This window comes from Homo sapiens, chromosome 2 (assembly GCF_000001405.40).
Source record: "Homo sapiens chromosome 2, GRCh38.p14 Primary Assembly".
Taxonomy (NCBI): domain Eukaryota; kingdom Metazoa; phylum Chordata; class Mammalia; order Primates; family Hominidae; genus Homo; species Homo sapiens.
Genome location: NC_000002.12, coordinates 197651355 through 197675841, shown reverse-complemented (window position 1 = coordinate 197675841; position 24487 = coordinate 197651355). Strand labels below are relative to the sequence as shown.

General features: G+C 39.0%; 1 protein-coding gene across 6 annotated transcripts in view, besides 2 other annotated features; it reads left to right on the top strand.

Annotated features, from left to right (window-relative positions):
- Positions 1–254: 254 nt before the first annotated feature.
- RFTN2 (raftlin family member 2) overlaps positions 255–24487 on the top strand; it is a 107364-nt gene continuing 83131 nt past the window's right edge. For all 6 annotated transcript variants that reach the window (XM_017003332.3, XM_011510598.4, XM_011510597.4 and 3 more), the window contains exon 1: positions 255–522. In XM_017003332.3, coding sequence (XP_016858821.1) covers positions 384–522 — 139 coding nt within the window. In that variant the 5' untranslated portion in view covers positions 255–383. The remainder of the gene's footprint in view (positions 523–24487) is intronic.
- Positions 6918–7506: an enhancer, noted in NCBI's record as "H3K27ac-H3K4me1 hESC enhancer chr2:198533060-198533648 (GRCh37/hg19 assembly coordinates)". NCBI's record gives its function as "activates a minimal SCP1, AML or CMV promoter by ChIP-STARR-seq in naive H9 embryonic stem cells {active_cell/tissue: H9 hESC(naive)}" and the evidence as "EXISTENCE:reporter gene assay evidence [ECO:0000049][PMID:30033119]".
- Positions 7507–8096: an enhancer, noted in NCBI's record as "H3K27ac-H3K4me1 hESC enhancer chr2:198532470-198533059 (GRCh37/hg19 assembly coordinates)". NCBI's record gives its function as "activates a minimal SCP1, AML or CMV promoter by ChIP-STARR-seq in naive H9 embryonic stem cells {active_cell/tissue: H9 hESC(naive)}" and the evidence as "EXISTENCE:reporter gene assay evidence [ECO:0000049][PMID:30033119]".

Below are 24487 nucleotides of genomic sequence, written 5' to 3'. Positions count from 1 at the left end.
GTGCCCTGAGCGACAGAACTCTGGTAGGGGGCTGGCTGTAAATTGACGTGGCATGGAAATTCTCCGCTAAGTTGTAGCAGCTTGCATGTTTCTCTAAGATCAAGCCCAGCCTCCTGGAGCTGTAGCTTAATCATGGGTTCAATGACTTTACAGAAAAATGGATAGAAAAATTCTTCAACTCCTTTCTTTGGACCCAGATGGTTTTTTTTGGGTTTTTTTTTTTTTTTTGGTTTTTGCTTTTTTTTTTTTTTTTGGTTATCTATAGTTTAGCTGAAAACAAAATCAAAGCAGTTAAGTCTGTAACTTTCTTTTTGCAGCTTAAACAACAGAATTTGCTGCTCTCCCTCCCCTTTCCTGCAATTTAATTCCTTACAGATTTTGCCATGGGGTGCGGACTTAGAAAGCTAGAAGACCCTGATGATAGCAGCCCTGGAAAAATATTTTCTACCCTGAAGAGACCGCAAGTGGAAACAAAGACAGAATTTGCTTACGAATATGTATTGCTGGATTTTACTCTACAAGGTACTTTTTGCTTCTATTTTGTTTGTTAAATGTTTCAGAGATGAGACTACTAGTCATTTTTAAGTGTTGACTTAATAAATTTTTAAACTGTTCTTCATAATGAGATTGTATATTCAAACAATAATGCTTCGCTTCTTAATTATACTTTGTAAGATTTTTGTTTTGTTGATTGCTTCGTATTTTGGTAACATGGCTCATATGTACCTTCTAAAATTAGGGAAATTGCTTGGAAATACTTCTTTCATTTTTAAATCAAATACTTATTTATAGAAGGATTTATGAAAAATGCTTGATTTCCAGGACAAATAGCTATATAGCCTTAGTGACAGTTTGTATTTTGAAAAAGATTTGAAAATCACAATAAGGTATTATGTAGTAAATATTACTTGCATCATATCGTGGAAGAGTGTTTGCTAAGACAATTCTGAGGCTTCCAATTGTGTTAGACTCTGTGATTATGGTAGTCATTTGATATTTTTGACCAAACTAAACTATAAGTTTTGAAAATGTAGTTAAAAAAAAAAAAAAGATAGCCTTCTGTAAGACACTTCCTTTGCTCAGTGCCCTGTCCCTAACAGAGAAACTCTCTGTTCCAGAAAGTTGGAAACACAAATAAACAAGCCCAGATGGCAGCTCTGTGGAAGGAATCGAGGTGGCTCGATTTCACAAATACTTTGCCTCATTTCTTTTGGAAACTTTAGAGTACTGTACAACTGCACAGACAAAGCAGCTTTTTAAAAAAGCTATATCTTTAATTATGAAGTAGTAAAAATGAAATTTAGAGTGCTTTGCTTGCTGTTAAAGTTATCAGATATTAGTAAAATTCTTATTATAGTTATATTTTTAATTCTAATGAGCCACACATTTTATCAATTCACAAAAAGTTTATACTAAATTATCATGTTGAATATTATCTTAATTTTTTTCCAAATTTTTTGTTTACACACATTCTTTTCTTTTTTTTTTTTTTTTTTTTTTTTGCTTTGCTCTAGAAACAGTGCATCTTTGTGCAAGAAGCAAGAGCAGCCCATTTTTCTTTGTCAAAAATTAAGCTGGCCAGCAAACAAACTCCCTTCCAGGGACATACACAAAATCTGTACATAGACTTTTAACATGTTCATATCCTATTTTTGTTTAAAGCTAAGGCTACCAAAAGAAAAAAATTAATATTCTTAATTTCTTAATTTTCTTTTAAATTATGAATGTTAAAAATGGATTAAGATAATAGCAATTATCAGAGAAGTAACCAAACAACCGTTTGAATTTTTTCTATACTTTTTCAAAAACCTTCATTTGAGAAAATATTTGTAATGTGGTGCTATGTTCACACCATTGATTTTCCTCATCAATTTTTTTTTAGGACTCGTTTCTGTACATCCATAGGAGACAGACACATACTCTCCTTAACCTTGAAACACTGTGTATTCATGAATTTAGGTCAGAACCATTTTGATCTGTACTTTAGGATTCTCTGCACAACCCATTGTAGGATCATAGGGTTTAAAGTAACTTGAAAAGTTTTTCTGATTCATTTCCTTCCAACAATGTTAACATCTCAAACAAATTTGTATAAATGCAGTCATCCTTGAATCAGAAAGATCTGCAGCTTTATTCAAAAGTCACTTGGGTTTTGTTATTCTCAGAAGCCCTTCTCTCTGTGAAAGGAGTATAATTTCTACCTTCCACTCTAGGTGCTTAGAAGAGATAACAGAGTATTACACTGTAAAAGTTTAAGTATGGGCAGAGTGTGCAAATGTTAACACATAAAGCAGGCACATACTTTAAAGCTGCACCTGGATCCTATTTGGTACAGGCGCCTAGTCTCCTGGTGCCCCATTGCGCTCCAATTTTTCCCCATGTTTTTGTTTTAGTTTTTTCTTTGTTTCTGTCTTCCCCATTGCCTTTGCTTCAGAAGCCAGGACTCAGCATCAGCCCAACTCCGCAAACTACCTTCCAGGTCATAGTTTCCCTGCTGCTCTTCTGTTGTCTCTGACCTCCGGCTGCCACTCCAGTGTATATAGGAGTGGGTCATGGGTGGGTTAAAACATGCCAGCTTTCTGTTTGGCACCGGTAATTCTGTCCTGGGTTGCTGGGAGGAGGCTTGAATAGTGGCACCTCCTGCCTGTCAGAGGCCACCATGGAATGAGCAACCTTTCAGGAAATAAAATGGCCTGGTGACAGCTGTGTGTGCTCATGATGAGCCTGTCTCTTACATTATTTTCCTCTGTTTTTTCCAAATAGAGGCCATGGCACAGAAAGTAGATCCAATGGGGGCAGGAGGAGGAGACCCTCTGAAAATCCACAGTGCCCTGTCCTGCATTATGGTGGTTATAACTTTCTAGAACAACTTATTTATTTTCCATTCAATTATATATCACTTTCAAAGCTCCACCCAGAAAACAAAACAACTTACACCTCCCATTCTCTCCTTATCTCTCTGTCTCTGTCTCTCTCCCTCTCCCTTCCCCACACTTTTCTTTTTCTTTTTGGCCTTTGAATCATTATTTACATCTCTATAGGAGAAATCATAGCATAGACTTGAAGCATACAAAACTCTGGAGTCATAGTTTTGGGGTCCTGAATCTAGGCTGAAAACTGTGGCAAATTTGTAAATGTTGCTCTATCTCAGTTTCCTCATCTATAAAATGGGTATTCTCATGGTGCTGACGTCACAGAGTTGTTTTAAGGATCAAAGGACCTAATATAAGATGATCTACTTGGAAAGGTATCTGGCAGTTAGTAAGCACTTGATAAAGATTAACTGTTATGATCCTTCCTCTGAGAATACCCTCTGTCTCCACATTCCTCCTTTAAACCCAGCTCCTGCAGGATGCTTTTTGACCAACCTATTGAGGTCATTAAAATAATTCCTGCATTTCCCCTCTGATACATAATCATCAAGTATTGGTTACTTATATGTTCTCTTCAAAGGTTCATACACATTTTTCTTATTCTGGCCATAAAATTATTAGTTTGTGCAACTACAACTCGACAAATGTGTTTGGAGTAGCTCCTGATTGCGCTGCTATGCTGGGTATCTTAGGTACTATAAAAGAAATAAAACACATAGCCCCTTCTTTCAAGAAATTTAAAGTTTCATCTAGGTAGGCCGAATTTTTCTGGAACTTTATGCCAAGTCTACCAACTGCACTAATGAGGTTTTGGTAAAATGTTTATATTTTTCTGGATTATTGTATAGTAATGATTTCTTTCACTGTATTATGATAAAGTAACAATTCATTATTCCTGCTTATTAGTGAAAATTCAAAATAGTCTAGAGATTTCTTATAGTATATCCATTTATATGTGTTTATGAGAGCATATGATGTATGTATATGAGTATGTTACAGGGTTTCTTAACAAAAAGTTAAAATAACTCTACAAGTGATCCAAAAGGATTAATTTACCTCCTTGTATAATTCCAGGAAACAATCTGAATAATAGTAGCCTTAAGAATTTTTACAGCATTTATAGCTTTATGAGTAAAAAGAGGTTCTACAATACTAAAACCCAACAGAAAATTGGATGGTAGCTTCCTTATCTGAATTTCTGGTAGAATTACATAAAATGTGAGTGAAATTTTGCTAGCCTCTAGCTTGCTTCATTATTATTAGAACAAGAAATTCTATTTGTCTTTCATCATCACCATTAACAGGAATTGTACTCTGTAAAAAATGCTGATTAGCATTGGAAATATAAAAAAGAATAAGACAGTTTCTGCCCTCGGATATTTTGTATTCAACTCGGTCAAACTGGACAAGGTCATGAACTCATCAAGGTTAGGAATTATATCATCTCCATCTTTGTACACCCTGTGTCCAGCACGATGTTTGGAATATGAGTGATGGTCAATATTCTTTGTTGAATGAGTGAATGAACAAAAAATTACAATACAAGGTACATGTGGAGGAAATAGTGTGCTACAACAAGTATCAGAAAAAGGAGAAATCAATTTTGAGTAGGATCAGTTGGAACTAGAGTTAGGACTTTAACTGACCCTTGAAGAAAGTGGCTTAAACAGAAAAAGATTAAGAGATTGGAGTAAGTTCAAGGGCTGGTGAACAGAGCAGTGAGCTAAAGGAGGTTTTCTAGGGAGGAAGCAGGAAGTAAGATTCTAAACTGATGGGAAATGGGAAGGTTCTGGCTTAGCCAGGGAGTTAAGACCTAATTCTATGGAAGATAAATGGCAGTAAAGGCTTTTTGAACAAGTAGTTGATAGATGCAGAAGAGTGTTTTAAGAAGATTCATGTGGAATTGCAGTGAGAAGGGATGGAGGCAAGAAGTCAAGGCTAATGATGATGAGGACCTGTGGGTGAAGGGCAGTAACAGGGATAGGATACAAGGGGTAGATATGACAGATGTTACAAAGGAGGAACTTAGCCTGTGACTGGCTGGATTTGAAGGGACAGAAAGAATGAGGAATCCAGGATGACTTCCCAGTTTTGAGCCTGAGTGGCTATGGAAATAATGAGTCCTCTTACAGAAGGAGGGGCACTCCAAAGGGAGTCCGTCTGTGGTCAAAGAGCAATTTCATTGCAGTCATGTTGCATTTGAGGTGGCAGTGGAAGATCTTAGTAGAGGCAGTTTATAGATGCACAGCTGACTGTGAAAATTTCAAGAAGGAATTGAAATAGATTTTTTTTTTGAGACAGGGTCTCACTCTGTCACCCAGGCTGAAGTGCAGTGACTCAGTCACAGCTCACTGTAGACATGACTTCCCAAGCTCAAGCAATCCTCCTGCCTCAGCTGCTGGAGTAGCTGGGACTACACATGTGCCACCATGCCTGGCTTATTTTTTAATTTTTTGTAGAGATGGAGGTCTTGCTATGTTGCCCAGACTGGTCTTAAACACCAGTGTGGGTAAACTGTTAGAATCATTGAGGGAAAAAATTGTTTGGCATTATCTACTTAGCTAAAGATATACCCAACAGAAATGAGTGTACATGTGCATCATGAGGCACTACAAGAATGTTCATAGAAGTGTTGTTTGTAATAGCCCAAAGGTGTAAACAACCCGGAACTCCAAAAAACAAAAGAATGGAAAAATAAATTGTGGTATACTCACACAATACTGCAGAAATCAGCAAATACCCTTAAAGGGTTGGATGGTAAATATGAGGTCTCTGTCACAACTATTCAACTCTCCTGTTGTAGCGCTAAAGCAGCCATAGACAATATATAACAAAACAGACCACAGGCCACAGTTCGCCAACTCTTAGCACACTGCAGTGGAAACAGAGGAACTACAATTACACAAGATGAATTCCACAAGCATAATATTGAGTGAAGACAGACACACAAGTCCATGCTATATGCTTCCCTTTATATGCTCAAACGGAAGTATAGTGTTTAGGGCTGCATTCTGGGAAGTAAACTAAGAAGAAAGGCAAAAAAAAGTCATTATCATAAAAATCAGGGTATTACGGAGGGGACAGGAGCATTGTGATGGGAAAGGGTAAAGGCTTCTGAAGTGCTGGCTATTTTCTAATTTTTGAATGGATAGTGGTTACCCTAGTGCAGGGGTCCCCAGCCCCCAGGCTGCAGACTGGTACTGGTCTGTGGCCTGTCACGAACAGGGCCACACAGCCAGAGGTGAGCAGCAGGCCAGTGAGCATTACTGCCTAATTAGCAACGGCATTGGATTCTCATAGGTTCTCATAGGAGCATGTATTGTGAACTGCGCGTGCAAGGGATCTAGGTTGCAAACTTCTTATGAGAATCTAACTAATGCCTGATGATCTGAAGTGGAACAGTTTCATCTCAAACCGTCCACTCCCCACCCACATCTGTAGAAAAACCGCCTTCAATGAAACCAGTCCCTGGTGCCAAAAAGTTGGGGACCGCTGTCCTAGTGTTAGTAGTTTTAAGCATGTTTTGTGTCTTTTTCTTTTATATGTTACATTTCCACTCACCCCAACCCCAAAAAAATTTGAAAAAAAAAAAGGCTGAATAGGAAGTGAGTAGGGATAAGGCAAACATGGCTGAAAGACAAGATATACAAATACTCAGAAGAGAGAAAACTCTGTGGTCTGTCTGGAAACTGAAAATAAAACAGAATGGTAGGAATGTAGCATATTAAGAAGATAGCAGTGAAACATAAGACTTCAGGAGTTTGGTCATAATTTGGTCCTTCATATATCTGCCTATAACCATGAAATACATAGTTCAATAGAATTTTATTGTATTTTAAAACTGCAGTTAGGAAGAACCAAAACAGTGAGTAGATAATCACACATTGAGTAGATCATCCAAGAGAGCACACTGGAATTCCACAGAAAAGTGACAAGAAATATCTAAAACAAGGAAGGAGAAGGAAGTGAGGCAGCCTGTTCAGTTGGGATCAGCTGAGGCCTGAGAGAGACTCCCCAGTATGGGGAAAGGTTAAGTGAGAGACCCTCAGTACTTCACCTTCCCACTGTGGACCCCTGCAATTCTAACCATGGGAGAGTTCCTCAATCCTTGAGGGCCCTGAAACTAACAGAGGGAGCTGCCAAGAGATTGTGCCACAGGACTGTCCCAGGGAGGAAGGGCATACTGGGTCCCAAACACTTCCCGAGACTTAGGCAGCTACAGCAAGGCACCATTTTAGAGCCCCATCCCTAATAGACCAAGTACTGTCCTAGATCTAGTGATGCTAGGGCTGAGCCACAAGAGAAATGCAGACTGTTGCCCTATGACTGAGGCACAAGCGACTGCATGCAGGCTACTGCAGCCAGGCCTGAGGTACAACCCAGGTGCAGGCTACTGCCAGGTGCAGGTACATGCCTCTGGGCTGAGGCATCAATGACCACAGGCTACCACGCCCAGGGCTGAAGTGCTACCAAGGCATAGGCTATCACAGCAGAGGCCGAGGCACAAGCATCACATATGTTCCCCACCTGTCTAGGCTGCTACCACTAAAGGCAGCACCTCCCTCCCCAGTGGCAGGACAGCAGCATGGCCACTGCTGCCCCCAATCTGAACATTCCACTGCTGGCCTGGGGAACATCCCACTCCTGCCTACCATGACTGGTGCCTGCTCATGCTATCAGAGGACTGAGGACAGCCCCTCTAGCCTAGCTTCACTCCCCTCAACATGCCAGAGCACACAGCCCAGAGGTCAGGGGATGGTTCAGCTAAGTTCACCACCATTGCTACCTGAACACTCCTTCCAGAGACCTACCCACCTGGCTGCTACCACCATAGCTGGCACCTATCTGCATGCACCCACCTGCAGGCCTAGAGACTGGCCTACACAGCCCACCACAGACACTGCCAACACCAGGGTGCACTGCTTGCAACCCAAAGGTTGTCCCATCACTATCACTGAAATCACCCATGCCACACTGGCTCCCCAGGGGGCCAAGGACCCTCCTACCCACCCAGCCCACTGCTACCACTACTGGCAAAACTAAGTTACCTAGAAGTCCAAGAATTGGCCCACCTGGACCTGCTAACACCAGTGCCAACATGTGCCTCACTGGGTCCCAAAGACAGGCATGCTCAACCCACTGCTGCCACCACTGGGGCCCAAAGACTGGCCTACCTGGCATCCCAGTTCCCAAGAAAACCTCACCACAGCATCCACTAATAACCATACTGTAAGCCTCTATGGAAATCACAGCTACAACTGATGTTGTTTACAGCCAAATAAGTCATACAGAGACTACACTATTCCATGCACCCAGAATCAAAACCAAAGCATCCTACCCAACCGACACCATAGATACATCCTCAGGAAAAACCTTTTCCACAAAAGCAGTTCAAAAAATTGGAAGAAGTGGCTGTTACACCAGATGCATAGATATCAACATATGAATGCAGGACACATGAAAGTACAAGGAAATGTGACACCTCCAACTGCAATAATCCTCAGGCAACAGATCACAAACAAAAAGAAATTCATGAAATTCCAGAAAGAGAATTCAAATTATTAACTCTAAGGAAGCTCAGTGAAATACAAGAGAATTCTGAAAAATAATACAAATAAATCAGAAAAACAATTCAGGATATGAATGACAAATTTACCAGAGAGATAGATATAAAAATAAACCCAGCCAGGTGCCATGGCTCATGTCTGTAATCCCAACACTTTGGGAGGGTGAGGCAGGCAGATCACTTGAGGTCAGGAGTTTGAGACCAGCCTGGCCAACATGGTGAAACCTCGTCTCTGCTGGAAAAAATAGAATAAAATTAGCTGGACATGGTGGCACATGCCTGTAATCCCAGCTACTCAGGAGGCTGAGAAAGGAGAGTCACTTGAACCCAGGAAGCAGTGAGCCGAGTGCCACTGCACTCCAGCCTGTTAGCCTGGACAAGTGAGAACTTGTCTCAAAAAATAAAAATAAAAATGAACCAAACAGAAATTTTGGAACTGAAGAATTCATTGAATTAAATACAAAATACATTCAAGAGCTTCAACAATAGACTAGATCAAGCAGTAGAAAGAAACTCAGAACTTGAAGACAAGTCTTCTGAAATAACCCAGTCAGACAAAAGTAAAGAAAAAAAAGAATTTAAAAGGATGAACAAAGTTTTCATGACATATGGAACACCATGAAGTTACCAAATACTCGAATTATTGGAATCTCAGAAGGCAAAACAAGAATGAAAGGGTTAGAAGACCTATTTAATGAAATAATAGGTGAAAACTTCCCAAGATTTAGACATTCAGGTATGGGAGACTCTGAGATCCCCAAACACATACAATGCAAAAAGATCTTCTCCAGAGCACATTATACTCAAACTGTCTAATGTTAAATACAAAGAGAGAATTCTAAAAACAGCAAGAGAAAAGTATCTAGTCACCTATAAAAGAACCTCCATCAGAATAACAGCAGATTTCTCAGCAGAAACTTTACAGGCCAGGAGAGAATGGAATGACATGTTCAAAGTGCTCAAAGAAAAATACTGCCAGCCAAGGATACTACATCCAGCAAAATTAGCCTCATAAATGGAGAAATAGGGCTGGGCACAGTGGTCCATGCCTGTAATCCCAACACTTTGGGAGGCCAAGGCACTTAAGGTCAGGAGTTCAAGACCAGCCTGGCCAACATGGTGAAGCCCTGTTTCTACTAAAAATACAAAAATTAGCTAGGCATGGTGGCAAACACCTGTAGTCCCCACTACTCAGGAGGCTGAGGCAAGAGAAACGCTTGAAGCTGGGAGGCAGAGGTTGCAGTGAGCCAAGATCACACCACTGCACTCCAGCCTGGGTGACAAAGTGAGACTCCATCTCAAAAAAAAAAAAGAAGAAGAAACAAAGTCTTTCCCAGACAAGCAACAGCTGAGGGATTCACAACCACTAGTCCAGCCCTATGAGAAATGTTCAAGGGAGTTCTAAACCTGGAAAATGAAAGGACAACATTTACCATCATGAAAATACACAAAAGTATAAAACACATTGGCAAAGTAAACACATAAATGAGGAAGAGAAAGGACTCAAATAGCACCACTACAGAAAACCACCAAGCTACAATGATAAACAGGAAGAGCAAAACAAAGGAACAAAGAACATACAGAAAACAATTAACAATATGATAGGAACAAAAACTCACATATCAGTAATAACCTTGAATGTAAGTAGATTAAATTCTCCACTTAAAACATATATACTGGCTGAATGGACTTAAAAATATGATCCAATTACATGCTGCCTATAAGAAATGCACTTTACCTATACAGACACATACAGACTGAAAGTAAAGGGGTAGAAAATGATATTCCATGTAAATGGAAACCAGAAGTGAACAGGTATAGCTATACCTATATCAGCTAAAACAGTCAAAACAGTAAGTCGAAAACAGTAAAAAAAAAAAAAAAAGGCAAGGTACATAATGATAAAGGAATCAATCCAGCAAGAGGATATAACAATTCTAAACATATATGCGCCCAACACTGGAGCACCCAGATTCATAAAGCAAATATTGCTAGATCTAAAGAGAGAGATAGACTTCAATGTGAGATTAGTAGAATACTTCAACCCACTTTCAGCATTAGACAGATCATCCAGACAGTAAATAACAAAGAAACATTGGATTTATTTATTATAAACCAATAGATTTTAATTTTGAGCAGTTTTAGTTTTACATAAAAATTGAACAGAAAGTATAGAAGGTTCCCTCATATCTCTTCACTGCTCCCCCCACCACCATTTCCCTGATTAGTAACTTTTTAAAATAATGTCAATTTTTATTTTAGATTCAGGAGGTACATGTGCAGGTTTGTTACACGGGATATTGCGTGATGCTGAGGTTTGGGGTTCAACTGATCCAGTCACCCAGGTAGTGCGCATAGTGCCCAACAGTTAATTTTTCAATCTTTGCCCCACTCCCTCTCTCTAGTAGTCCCAGTGTCTATTGTTGCCATCTTTGTGTCCATGAGTACCCAATGAAAGACTGGATTTAAACCGGACGTTAGACCACATGAACCTAACAGACATTTACAGAACATTTATCCAACAACTTCAGAGTACACATTCTTATTAGCACATGGAACATTCTCTAGAATAAATCATATGTTAGGCCAGAAAATGAGTCTCAACAAAATTTTTTTTTGAGATAAGTTCTCGCTCTGTTGCCCAGTCTGGAGTGCAGTGGCACAATCATGGATCACTGCAACCTTGACCTCCCAGGCTCAAGTGATCCTCCCACCTCAGCCTCCCAAGTAGCCGGGACCACAACCATGTACCACCACACCCAGCTAAATTTTTTTTTTGTAATTTTTGTAATTTTGTAGAACTAGGGGTCTCACTCTGTTGCCCAGGCTGGTCTCAAACTCCTGGGACAAGCAATCCTGCCTCAGCCTCTAAATTGCTGAGAGTACAGGCATAAGCCACTGCACCTAGCCAACTTTTTTTTTTTTTTGAGATGGGGTCTCCCTTTGTCTTCCAGGCCGGAGTACAGTGGCACAATCATGAATCACTGCAGCATCAACTTCCTGGGCTCAAACAATCCTCCCACCTGAGCCTCCTGAGTAACTGGGACTACAGGCACACACCACCACATCTGGCTGATTTTTGAATTTTTTTTTGTAGAGACTGGGTTTTGCCATGTTGCCCAGGCTGGTCTTGAACTCCTGACCTCAAGCAATCTGCCCACCTCAGCCTCCCAAAGTGGTGGTATTACAGTCATGAGCCACCATACCCAGCCACAATTTTTTTTAAAAATGGAATCATATCAAATGTCTTCTCAGACCACAATGGAATAAAACTAGAAATCAATACCAAGAAGAACTTTGTAAACTATACAAATAAATAAAAATTAAACAGCATACTCCTGAATGACTATTGGGTTAATGAAGAAATTAAGAAGGAAATTTAAAAATGTCTTGATATTAATGAAGATGAAAATATAACATATCAAAAACTGTGGGATACAACAAAAGTGATACTAAGTAGTATATAGCAATAAATGCCTACATCAAAAAGTAGAAAGATTTCAAATAAACAGTCTAATAATGTACCTGAAAGAACTAGAAAAGCAAAACAAACCAAACCCAAAATTAGTAAAAGGAAAAAATAATAAAGAGTAGAACTAAACAAAATACAGACAAAAACAATACAAAGGATCAATAAAAAAAGCAGCTTCTTCAAAAAGATAAACAAAATTAATAAACTGCTAGCTAGACTAACCAAGAAAAGACCCAAATCGGAAATGAAAAAGGAGACATTACAACTGATAACCACAGAAATACAAAAGATCATTACAGACTACTATGAACAACTATACACTAACAAACCGTAAAACCTAGAGGAAATAGATAAATTCCTGCACACATACAACCTACCAAAATTGCATCAGGAAGAAACAGAAAATCTTAACAGATCAGTAATGAATAGCAAGATTAAATCAGTAATGAAAAGTCTCCCAACAAAGAAACTGGACAGATTCATTACCACAGAACTGGACAGATTCACTACCACATTCTACCAAACATACAAAGATGATCTAATACCAATCCTCCTCAAGCCATTTCAAAAACTTGAAGAAGAGAGAATTCTCCCTAATTCATTCTGTAAGGCCAACACAACAAAAAAAGAAAACTACAGGCCAATATCCCTGATGAATATAGATGCAAAAATGCTCAACAAAATACTAGCAAACCAAACTCAATAGCACATCAAAAAGATAATACACCATCATCAAATGGAATTTATACCAGTGATGCAAACATGGTTTAATTTATGCAAATCTATAAACATGACACATCACATCAACAGAATGAAGGACAAAAAACATATGATTATCTCAATAGATGCAGAAAAAAACATTTAATAAAATTCAACATCCCTTCTTGACAAAAACTCTCAACAAACTCGGCATAGAAGGAACATACTACAAAATAATCAAGGCCATATATGACAAACCCACAACTACAAGAAAACTACAAAACACTGAGGAAATAAATGGAAGGGGGCCAGGTGCAGTGGCTCATATCTGTAATCCCAGCAGTTTGGGAGGCCATGGGAGGATCACTTGACTCAAGGAGTTTGAGACCAGCCTGGGCAACATAGTGAGAACCCATCTCTAGAAAAATTTTAAATTTTTATAAAAAAATTTTTAAAGAACGAAATGGAAGAGGACACCAAACAAAAGAAAAGACATCTCATGCTCATGGATTGGAAGAATTAATACTGTTAAAATACTGCCCAAGGCAATCTACAGATTCCATTCAATCCCTATCAAAATACCAGTGTCATTTTCACAGAAATAGAAAAAAAAAATACCAAAATTTTTATGGAACCACAAAAGAGTCAGAATAGCCAAAAAATTTTAGGAAAAAAAGAACAAAGCTGGAAGCATCACACTACCTGACTTTCAAATATATTAGAAGGTTATAGTAGCCAAACAGCATGGTATTGGTATAGACCAATGGAACAGAATACAGAACCCAGAAATAAATTTGCATATTTACTGTCAACTGATTTTCAAAAAAAGTGTCAAGAGCATACACTGGGGAAAGGACACCCTCTTCAATAAATGGATATCCATATGCAGAAGAATGAAACCAGACCACTATCTATCTGTCACCATTACAAAAATCAACTCAAACTGGACTAAAGACTTAAACATAAGACCCAAAACTATAAAACTACTAGATAAAAATGTAAGAAAAACACTTCAGGACATTGGCCTAGGAAAGATTTTATGGCTAAGACCTCAAAAGCACAGGCACCTAAAATAAAAATAGACAAATAGGATTATACTAAACTGAAAAGCTTCACAGCAAAGGAAGCAATCAACAGAAAGAAAACTTACAGAATAAGAGAAAATATTTGCAAATTATTCATCCAACAAGGGACTAACATCCAGAATATACACAAGGAACTCAAACACGTCAACAATTTTTAAAAATCACGTTAAAAAGTGGGCAAATTACATGAATAGACAATTCTCAAGAGAAGACATACAAATGGCCAACAGGTATATGAAAGAATGCTGAATATCACTAATCACCAGGGAAATGCAAATGAAAAACCACACTGAGATGTTATCTCACCCCAGTTAGAATGGCTGTTACTACAAAGACAAAAAGAGATCCTGTGGAGATGAGGATGTAGAGAAAAGGGAACTCTTATACACCGTTGGTGGGAATGTAAATTAGTAAAACCACTATGGAAAAGAGTGTAGAGATTTCTCAAAAAACTAAAAATAGAACTACTAAATGATCCAGCAATTCCACTACTAGGTATCTATCCAAAGGAAAAGAAATCAGTATATCAAAGGGATACTTGCACTCACCTGTTTATCATAGCGCTATTCACAAAAGCAAAGGTATGGAGTCAACCTAAGTGTACACCAACAGAAGAATGGATAAAGAAGATGATACATATGTACATGGTGGAATACTATTCAGCCATAAAAAAGAATGAAATCCCAGCCTGGGCACCATTGTGAGACCTCATCTCTACAAAAATATATATGTATATATATATTTAAAAACTACCAAAACATGGTAGCATGCACCTGTAGTTCCGACTACTCTGGAAGCTGAGGTGGAAGGATCACTTGAGCCTAGAAGGCGGAGGTTGCTGTGAGCCTTGATTGTGCCACTGCACTCCAGCCTCGGCAACAGAGCTGGAGTCTTGTCTCAAAAAAAAAAAAAATTAAATTAAATTAAATCACGTCATTTGCAGCAACATGGATGGAGCTGGAGGACATTATGTTAAGTGAAATAATCCAGGCACAGAAATACAAATATGGCATGTTCTCACTCATATATGGGAGCTTAAAAAGTTGATCTCATACAGGTAGAGAGTTAAATGATGGTGACCAAAGGCTGGGAAGGATGAGTGGGTGTGAGCAGGGGATAAAGAAATGTAGATTATCAGGTACAAACATACAGTTAGATAAAAAAATATGTAATATTGTTCAACAGTGGAATAAAGTGACTCTAATTAACAACAATATACTGTATATTTTAAAATAGCAGTAAGAGAGGACTTGAAATTGTTCCTAACACATAGAAATAATAAATACTTGGCCGGGCGCAGTGGCTCACACCTGTAATCCCAGCATTTTGGGAGGCCAAGGCAGGCAGATCACTTCAGGCCAGGAGTTCAAGACCAGCCTGGTCAACATGGAGAAACCCTGTCTCTACTAAAAATACAAAAATTAGCCAGGCGTGGTGGTGGCGCACACCTGTAATCCCAGCTACTCGGGTGGCTGAGACACGAGAATCACTTGAACCTGGGAGGCACCACTGCATCTTGTTGCCTGGGTGACACAGTAAGACTGCCTCAAAAAAAAAAAGAAAAAGAAAAAAGAAATGATAAATACTCAAAGTAATGAATACCTCAGATACCCTGACTTCATTATTACACATTCTATGATTGTAACAAAATATCACATATACTTCATAAATATGTAAAATACTATGAATTAATTTTTAAAACTGCAGTTATATTACTTCAATTAATACATAAATGAGTGACTACAAGGATGGAAGCTTTCATGGAAAAACATAAACAATAATAATTTGATGTTATTTATATAGTAGTTTATATTTCTAAGTTATTGAAAACATTTTGATAAGTAACATAAATTAGATACTCCTTCTAATATCCATACATTAAATTGCTTAACAATTTATTATGGTTTAAAAGCTTTAACCCAGCTCATGTCGGAATTTTATTTTCACAAATTCTGAATTAATATGATCCAGATCAATGAAGTTTTCCTTCTCTGCAGGCACTAGAGCACACTGGCTCTGGACTCACTCTGTCTGGGTTCAATCACAGCCTCACCACTTACTAGCAGTTTGGGCCAGTTACCTAGTCCCTTTCTTTCTTCCTGAGTTTCCTCATCTGAAAATAATGATAATACTTACCTTATATGATTTTTGTAATGAGTAATTAAGAATTGGCACATAAAACACTTCACATATTGGCTCGCACAAAATATGCACTTGTTATGTTACTTATTTTTTACTATAATTGCTAGATAAAATATGGAGATTGACAGTCTATTCCCTTTTGAAAATGTGGACTTGCTAGTGTTTATACATAGCATTTTTTTTTTTGAGACAGAGTTTTTGCTCTTTTTGCCCAGGCTGGAGTGCAATGGCATGATCTCAGCTCACTGCAGCCTCTGCCTCCCTGGTTCAAGCAATTCTCCTGCCTCAGCCTCCAAAGTAGCTGGGATTACAGGCACACGCCACCACGCCAGGTTTATTTTGTATGTTTAGCAAAAACAGGGTTTTACCATGTTGGCCAGGATAGTCTTGATCTCCTGACCTGCAGTAATCCACCCGCCTCAGCCTCTCAAAGTGCTGGGATTACAGGCATGAGCCACCACACCCAGCCTGTACATTGTATTTTTATCTGAGGAAATAATATTTCTTTTTTTTTTTTTTTTTTTTTTATGAGATGGAGTCTTGCTCTGTTGCCAGGCTGGAGTGCAGCAGCACGGTCTCGGCTCACTGCAACCTTTGCCTCCTGGTGCCTCCCAAGTAGCTGGGCCTACAGGAGTGTACCACCATGCCGGGCTAATTTTTGTATTTTTAGTAGAGACGGGGTTTCACCATGTTGACCAGGATGGTCTCGATCTCCTGACCACCTGATCCACCTGCCTCAGCCTCCCAAAGTGTTGGGATTACAGGTGTGAGCCATCATGCCTGGCCCTAATATTTCATAAGTATTTCAAAAATACACACCAGTCATCAGAGGTAAATTGGTGGAAAGAACATATGTATGTCTTGGACTATTTTCATAGAGTTACATCATCAGAGCAAAACTTTTAGCATTGAACAAAGTCTTAGCTTTAATATATGACTTTATATTAAAGTCATAGTATATGACTTTTTCTATTTTTAAAAATTTGATCTTTGTCTATGAAGCTTTTAAGCAAAAGAGCATAAAGTCTTTGATGTTTATTTTAGAAACTATAAGAATAAATGAAAAATGTTACTTAACATTCAGCATGTTTTAATTTTAATAATAACATTCACTTTGCACAGTTTTCAAAGTAATTGCAAAATGCTTTCTTTCATGAGTTCCTCATGATAGCCTTGCAAGATATATAAAGCTCTTACAAATAATGTAGCATCAATTTAACAGTAACCAACCACACTCATTAAAGCTGTAAACAACCCCATTTGTTTCTTCCCCTAAAGAACTGAGAAAGAACTGCTGGTGGTTGGGGAGCTAAGAAGAGAAGAAGGATTGCAGCTACTGCTAACCACCTGTGCTGTTCAAATTCTAGCCAAACTACCATTACCTCTCCCTTAATTTCCTCTGTTTAAAAAGTAATAGGGGCCAGGCACAGAGGTTCATGCCTGTAATCCCAGAACTTTGGAAAGTCTAGGAACGAGGATAGCCTGAGTCCAGGAGTTCAAGACCAGCCTGGGCAACATGGAGAAACCCCACCTCTGCCAAAAAAAAAAAAAACAATAATACAAAATATTAGCATGGTGTCATGGCATGCGCCTGTGGTCCCAGCTACTCAGGAGGCTGAGGTGGGAGGATCACCTGAGCCCAGGAGGTCGAGACTGCGGTGAGTCAAGATGGCGCCATTGCAGTCCAACCTGGGCAGCAGACTATGTGCATGCTTAGGGGTCACACATCCCTCATAAGTAAGGTTTATGAAGACCAGGCATTGGAAGGAAGTCAAATCCAAGTCCTTAAAGGATACTCATTTTTTTTTTCTAAAAAAAAAAAAAATATTTTTTAAAAATAGTCTTAGACAAGGTAGCATGAGGGGGAAAAAAACATAATAGAGGCTCTGATATTACTGCCCCAGCATAAGAACATCAAATCAAAGACTTGGCCTCAAACACTGAGCCTATCGTGGAAACATAATTATTCACTCTGGTGAGCTCTGATGAAAATTCCTGACTCTATAGGCACAGCTCTCCCCTTCTTCACATCTCTAAACTGAAGAAGGTTTGAATACCTAGCAAGTTCCTAACAGCCCTCCAATCTCATTTCTGCATGGTTTTAAACATTATTAAGAACCAGGGGAATTACATGAAAGAAAGTTCTCAACAAAATTCCCACATTTATTGCTCCTCTTCTTGCTCCTGGGTTTACCTTCCTTGAATGATGATGGCATGTTTACAGTAACTCCCAGTGTTTACATTACAACTCCCAATGTTTACACTCCTTTTGTTTACATCAGGTCCCAATAATGAGGACAACTTTCTTATAGAGTGAACCTCAGTCCCCCATTACCATCACTCTCCCATCCCTACAAATGAGGAAAATTAGAAAAATGTTTAAATAACATAATGTTTAAAACCATGTGTAAATGAGATTGGAGGGCTGTTAGGAACTTGCTAGGTATTCAAACCTGCTTCAGTTTAGAGATGTGAAGAAGGGGAGAGCTGTGCCTATAGAGTGAGGAATTTTCATCAGCGCTCACCAGAGTGAATAATTATGTTTCCACAATAGGTTCAGTGTTTGAGGCCAAGTCTAGGAAAACTAGATCACTTTTTCTGTATCCTAGAAGGCTGAACACTGTCTCAAATGGTCTAGGCAAGCTCTGGTCTACAGAATCCCTGGGGTGACCCAGGGCAGAAGTTACAAACTAATGAGACTCAGGCTGTATTTAGCCTTCAGACAGGTCTCCTTTGGGATGGACAGTATTAAATATTTTAATTAATTGTCACTTTTTTTAAACTGGGAAATATTATATAAGAATTGGATTTAGGGGTTTTCTTAAAAATTAGAAGATGCTTGGCCAGGAATAGTAGCTCATGCCTGTAACCCCAGCCCTTTGGGAGGCCGAGGCAGGAAGATCACTTTAGGCCAGGAGTTCAGTACAAGCCTGGCCAAATAGCAAGACCCCATCTCTACCAAAAAAAATTTTTTTTTTTATTTTTTTAACTGAGAAGGTCCAGTGACCTGGGCCCACAATTCCACATGGCAGCACTGGGCCCAGGGATGGTGCACTCTTTGGATGAGGCTTTGAGTGTTCTCCAGGTCCTGCAGCCTCCTCCTGTGTAGCTCCTTTCTTTGTTTTATCAGCCTAGTACCTGTGAGGCATTTGAGTCAAGGACTCTATGTAGTAGATCAGTTTGAGCTAGAGACCACTGATCTTAGATCTAGGGACTCTTGATCTAAGTCTCAGTTAGAGACCCAAGATCTAGAGCATGAGTTCAAGATTTCTGCTCTAGAAAGTGAGTTAGAGACCTCTAATCCAGAGTTCTGTAGTTTGGGAACGAGGCCATATTTTTGGAATATATTCAAATCCCTACCATGATCTTCCCAGAGATTTTTTAAACCAACAATGACTTATCTTTAAGGGCAACTTCATTTGAAACTATCTTCTCAGAGCTGGACCATCAACAAATGGGCAAATCACCGATGTCTATTTGCGTGTTTACTTGCACCAGGCCCTGGGCTCATGTTTTACAGTTATTTTCACAATAACTCTATGAAGTTAATATTATTCTTTATTCTTGTTTCAGAAAGGAAAGGTAACTTGTTCTAGATCACATGCTTAGTAAATGGCATAATCAGGATTCAAACCCAGGTGAATTGCTTCCAGAGCCTAATGCTCTTAAAGAGAATAGTGTACTGCCTCTCTTTCTACATAAGAGGACCTCATTACAAAGCAACCAATGGTTGTAGAGCACTTACTGTGTGCCAGACACTCTCTAGGAACCAAGATTAATTTATTAATCCTCCTAACAACCATATAAGGAGGATTCTGATTATTCCCATTTTGCAGATGAGGAAACTACGGCACACAGAAGGGAAATACCTTACTAGGTGTGGCAGAGCTAGGATTTGGATCCCGGAAGTCTGGTGCTGGAGTCTATGGCCTAAACCACTGCTCCATGAGTACCCTGGAGCTCTGTTTGTGAAATATATTAATAGTACGCCCAAGTTTTCTTTCAGTGGGTCTTTTAATAAGTATTTTTAGGTACTTACCGTAATGTCATCTCTGTGCTGGGTGCTACAGTTTTATCAAAAGACATTGACCTCCAGATAGGAGAACATGCACATTTGAAACAGTTGAATATTAATGTAAAGCAGTGGGCCCAAAACAAATATGAGTTGTTTTGTTTTTTTTTGAGACGGAGTCTCACTCTGTTCCCAGGCTGGAGTGCAGTGGTGTGGTATCGGCTCACTTCAACCTCCACCTCCTAGGTTCAAGCGATTCTCCTGCCTCAGCCTTCTGAGTAGCTGGGACTACAGGCACACACCACCATGCCTGGCTAATTTTTGTATTTTTAGTAGAGACAGGGTTTCACCATGTTGGCCAGGATGGTCTCGATCTCTTGACCTCGTGATCTGCCTGCCTCGGCCTCCCAAAGTGCTGGGATTACAGGCGTGAGCCACCAAGCCTGGCCCCATGATCTTTACATAAGCTTATGTTCAAATATGTTTATTAGCACTGATGTACAACATTTGTTCTCCCTTTCTAACTTTTCTGGATTTCTCAGTTTGTAATTCCTCCTGAAACTTTTATGTGTGTGTGTGTGTTTCTTGCATTAACATTTCTACTATGGTAAGACTTAAGACAATATCCTTACTTTATTGAGAGTGCAAGAAGATGTGGATTAGACCAGAAAAGCAGAACTTATTCCAATGATGCAAAATTTTTCTGACATCACCAGAAACGAGGTATTTCTTGGGAACACATTCTGCACCTAAACAGGAACCTCTTTAAGCATCAATTTTATTCTATTATAGCTATCTTCTTTGTGATTATTTTAACATGTTGTATAATTCTGCTTTTAAAAACTGTTCTGAAACAACAGAATGAAAGGGGGATGACTTCATTATTGTTATTGGTTTAAACTAATGACATATGTAAAGCCCTTTAAGTGGCCCCAGACTAATGTTTGTATAGTTTTTTGTTTTTTTGTTGGTTTGCTTGTTTGTTTGTTTGTTTTTTGAGACAGAGTCTTGCTCTGTGGCCAGGCTGGAGTGCAGTTGCCCCATCTTGGCTCACTGCAACCTCCGTCTCCTGAGTTCAAGCAATTCTCATATCTCAGCCTCCAGAGTAAGTGGGATTACAGGCATGCACCACCACTCCAGGCTAATTTTATATTTTTAGTAGAGTTGACGTTTCACCATGCTGGCCAGGCTGGTCTCTAACTCCTGACCTCAAGTGATCCTCCCACCGCGGCCTCCCAAAGTGCTGGGATTACAGGCATGAGCCACCATGCCCAGCCTATATTTGTATAGTTATTTTATCCAGTTTTGTAATTCATTTTATTCCCTCTGGTGTCATCTGTCTCTTTTGCTATTATCATTGTGTCCTTGCTACTTCTAACCCAGTGGGTCTCCAAGCTTCCACCAAAAGGCACTGGACATGAGATGCTCTTCGGCTGTATATACAGACACAGAATTAAACATTGGATCACTTAAACAGAAGAGTATGCCCTTTTCCATCTTATTTAAGCCTTCCCATCAGTTTGGAGTTAATATGTCTTTAACACCCCTCTAATGGCTAATTTTTCTCCTTTTTTGTTTTTGATTTTTTTGTTTGTTTTAAGACAGAGGCTCACTTTATTGTCCAGGCTGGAGTGCAGTGGTGCTATCATGGCTTACTCAAGAAGTTGCAGCCTCAAACTCCTGGGCTTAAGCGATCCTCCCACCTCAGCCCCCAAGTAGCTGGGACTTACAGGCATGTGCAATCACGCTCAGCTAATATTTAAATTTTCTGTAGAGACAGTGTCTCATTATAGCCCAGGTTCGTCTCAAACTCCTGGCCTCAAGTGATCCGCCCACCTCAGCCTCCCAAAGTGATGGAATTGCAGACATGAGCCACCATGCCCAGCCTAATTTTCCTTGGCCAGGCCTGTGGCTCAGTCTTTGGCAAATAACATTATCTAGCTAGAATGTAATAAGTTTTCTTTTCATTGTATTTATTTGTATGACAGCTTTCTACTTAAGATAAATGATCCTGGTTTTATGTTATATGAGTGATATAAATTCTTTTTGAAATAAATTTATTTTGCTTAAAAATTAAAATTAGAAGAAAATTTTAAGGATATGACCAAAATTGTGAAAGTGTACTTAGACAACTAAAGTTTGGGAAACACCACCCCAGTTCAATGAGCAGTTGGTTGAGAGAGTTGTTAAGGGGAGGTGGCTCCATGCCTTTCTTATGGAAAAAGTGGATGGACTTTTTCAGAACTTTTTTTTGGTAAATTGAGGTTATTTCTACTGTTCTGTTATTGCAAAAGTAATTGCTTTGCCATTGAAAGCAATGGCAAACACCATAATTATTTTTGCACCAACCCAATAGATTTTTGAAGTTGCTGGCAGTCTGCTTTCTAGTAAAGTTGAACAAAAATCTCTTTCACCTCTATTGTTTTAGCCTTTTTTTTTTTTTAACTAACCAGATAGATATTTTTTAATGAGCATGTCAGAGTCTCACTCTGCCCTGCCACATGCAGTTTGGGGGAGTATTCCCATGGGTAACTGAGTCTTCCATTGCTTAGTCAGTGTTCTACCTGCCAGCCTCTTCTGTGTGACAGCCCTTCAGATATATCCAGATGGTGCCCTGTTCCTCACATATTATTTTGCACAGTTGAAAGACACCCGTCAGGTCTCCAGACCCCTCATTATCCTGAGCACTTTCTTTTGAATGTACTCCAGCTTGTTACTGAATGTCTCTAATTTCACCCCTAAATTGAAAACAGTTTACTTATCCATTCAACAGATATTAATTGAACATCTGTCTGCTAGGCAATACTCTAAGTATAGAGATACGGCACTGAACAAAGCATGAATATCCCTGCCCTCACAGAGCTTTCATCCTGCCCTTGTGGGGGAGGCAGATATTAATAATATAATTAGGTAAATAGTATATTCTGGTTATTATTATTTGGATAGTTATTAATGCTAAAGCAAGGAATATACTAATGAGATGGTCTGCTCAATAAAGAACTTAGTGAGCCTCCTGCCTTTGGAGGTAATTTTTTTCCAGATAGCCAACGATCACATTAGATTAACTCTTGGCTTATAATTAGTTTGCAGTCAGCTACAGACCACAGGATTTCCCCTGCCCCCTTCAGTGAAAATATATTAAATCAGAATTCTGTCACTCTGTGTTTTGAACTTAGACTTTATCCCTGTTAGATTTTTTTGTTTGGGAGACCTTTGTACCACCAAACAAAGAGCTCTTCAAATCTTCATTCTCTTAGCTAATATATACACCATCCCTTCTTTGCTATATAATTAACTCTAAGACACCATTGATTATAAAACACACTATTATTTTATGTACCATTAAGAAAGAAAAATGCACCAATTAAACTATAACTATTTTCTTTCAGTAATTTTAGTTTTTACCCATGGCAAAAGCTCTTTTAGACATTTTAAACATAAGTATTTCATTATATATCTCTCTTACATACATAAGAAAAGGAAATTAAGTGAAATGAAGATATTTCTAAAAGTTCCTCACACTTAAGACCTGACTCTTCTGAATCACTTTTAGAACTTAGAGCCCTCATTTCCCCATTTTTCCACGTAATCTTCCTATGAGCGGTCAAGAGTATTGGTAATGCTGCATTTCTTAAGCAAGTGCTAGGGTTTTCTTTCAAGTAGCTGACACCCATTCTGCTAAGTTTGAGACTGGGGCTTTCCTCATATTGCCAGAGGCTACCAATGGAAAGTTTTCAAGCAGCCACCAGGACTCATATTCTTTTCTTAAGTGATCCTTGAACAGTTTGTTGACTGAAACTTCAAGCACTCTGGGTTGTCCAGCCATGCCACATGGAAAAACAATCAACTTTGCACAGGTATTGACAAGCACATCATAATTACCACCCGGCCTACAGTATTGAAAGATACCAAGAGGATTTCCAAGACCTATTATTGGGTTCAATTTTATAATTTATAAAGACACACCTTCACAAAAATGAAATGCTCACCTCTACTTATATTTGTAATCAACCACAATCTATGGACTTTTGTGTTTCACTTTAGTCATGTAAATATTATTTTTTAAATAAGCCTTAAAATTCCTTACACCATCATTGCTTTTTAGGTTTTCATTTTGCAACCTACGTTGCTGGATAATCAAGTAAAACTGCCAGGAAAGTATCAAAGTTCTTTATTTTTCTTGCATCATTTTTGAGGAAGAAAGTATATGCCTTTTTAACCAAAAAATAGATGCCATTGTACTTTTTAAAAATTGTTGACTTAAACATAAGAAATAAACCTATAAAACTCCTAGAAGAAAACAGAAGAAAAGCTTCATGACACTGTACTTGGCAATGATTTTTCTTTTTTTTTGTTGTTTTTGTTTTTGTTTTTTTGAGATGGAGTTTCACTCTTATCACCCAGGCTGGAATGCAGTGACACGATAGCTCACTTCAACCTCCGCCTTCCGGGTTCAAGCGATTCTCCTGCCTCAGCCTCCCAAGTAGCTGGGATTACAGGCATCTGCCACCATGCCTGGCTAATTTTTGTATTTTTAGTAGAGAAAGAGTTTCACCATGTTGGCCAGGCTGGTCTCAAACTCCTGATCTCAGGTGATCCACCCGCTCTGGCCATTGAAATTGCTGGGATTACGGGCGT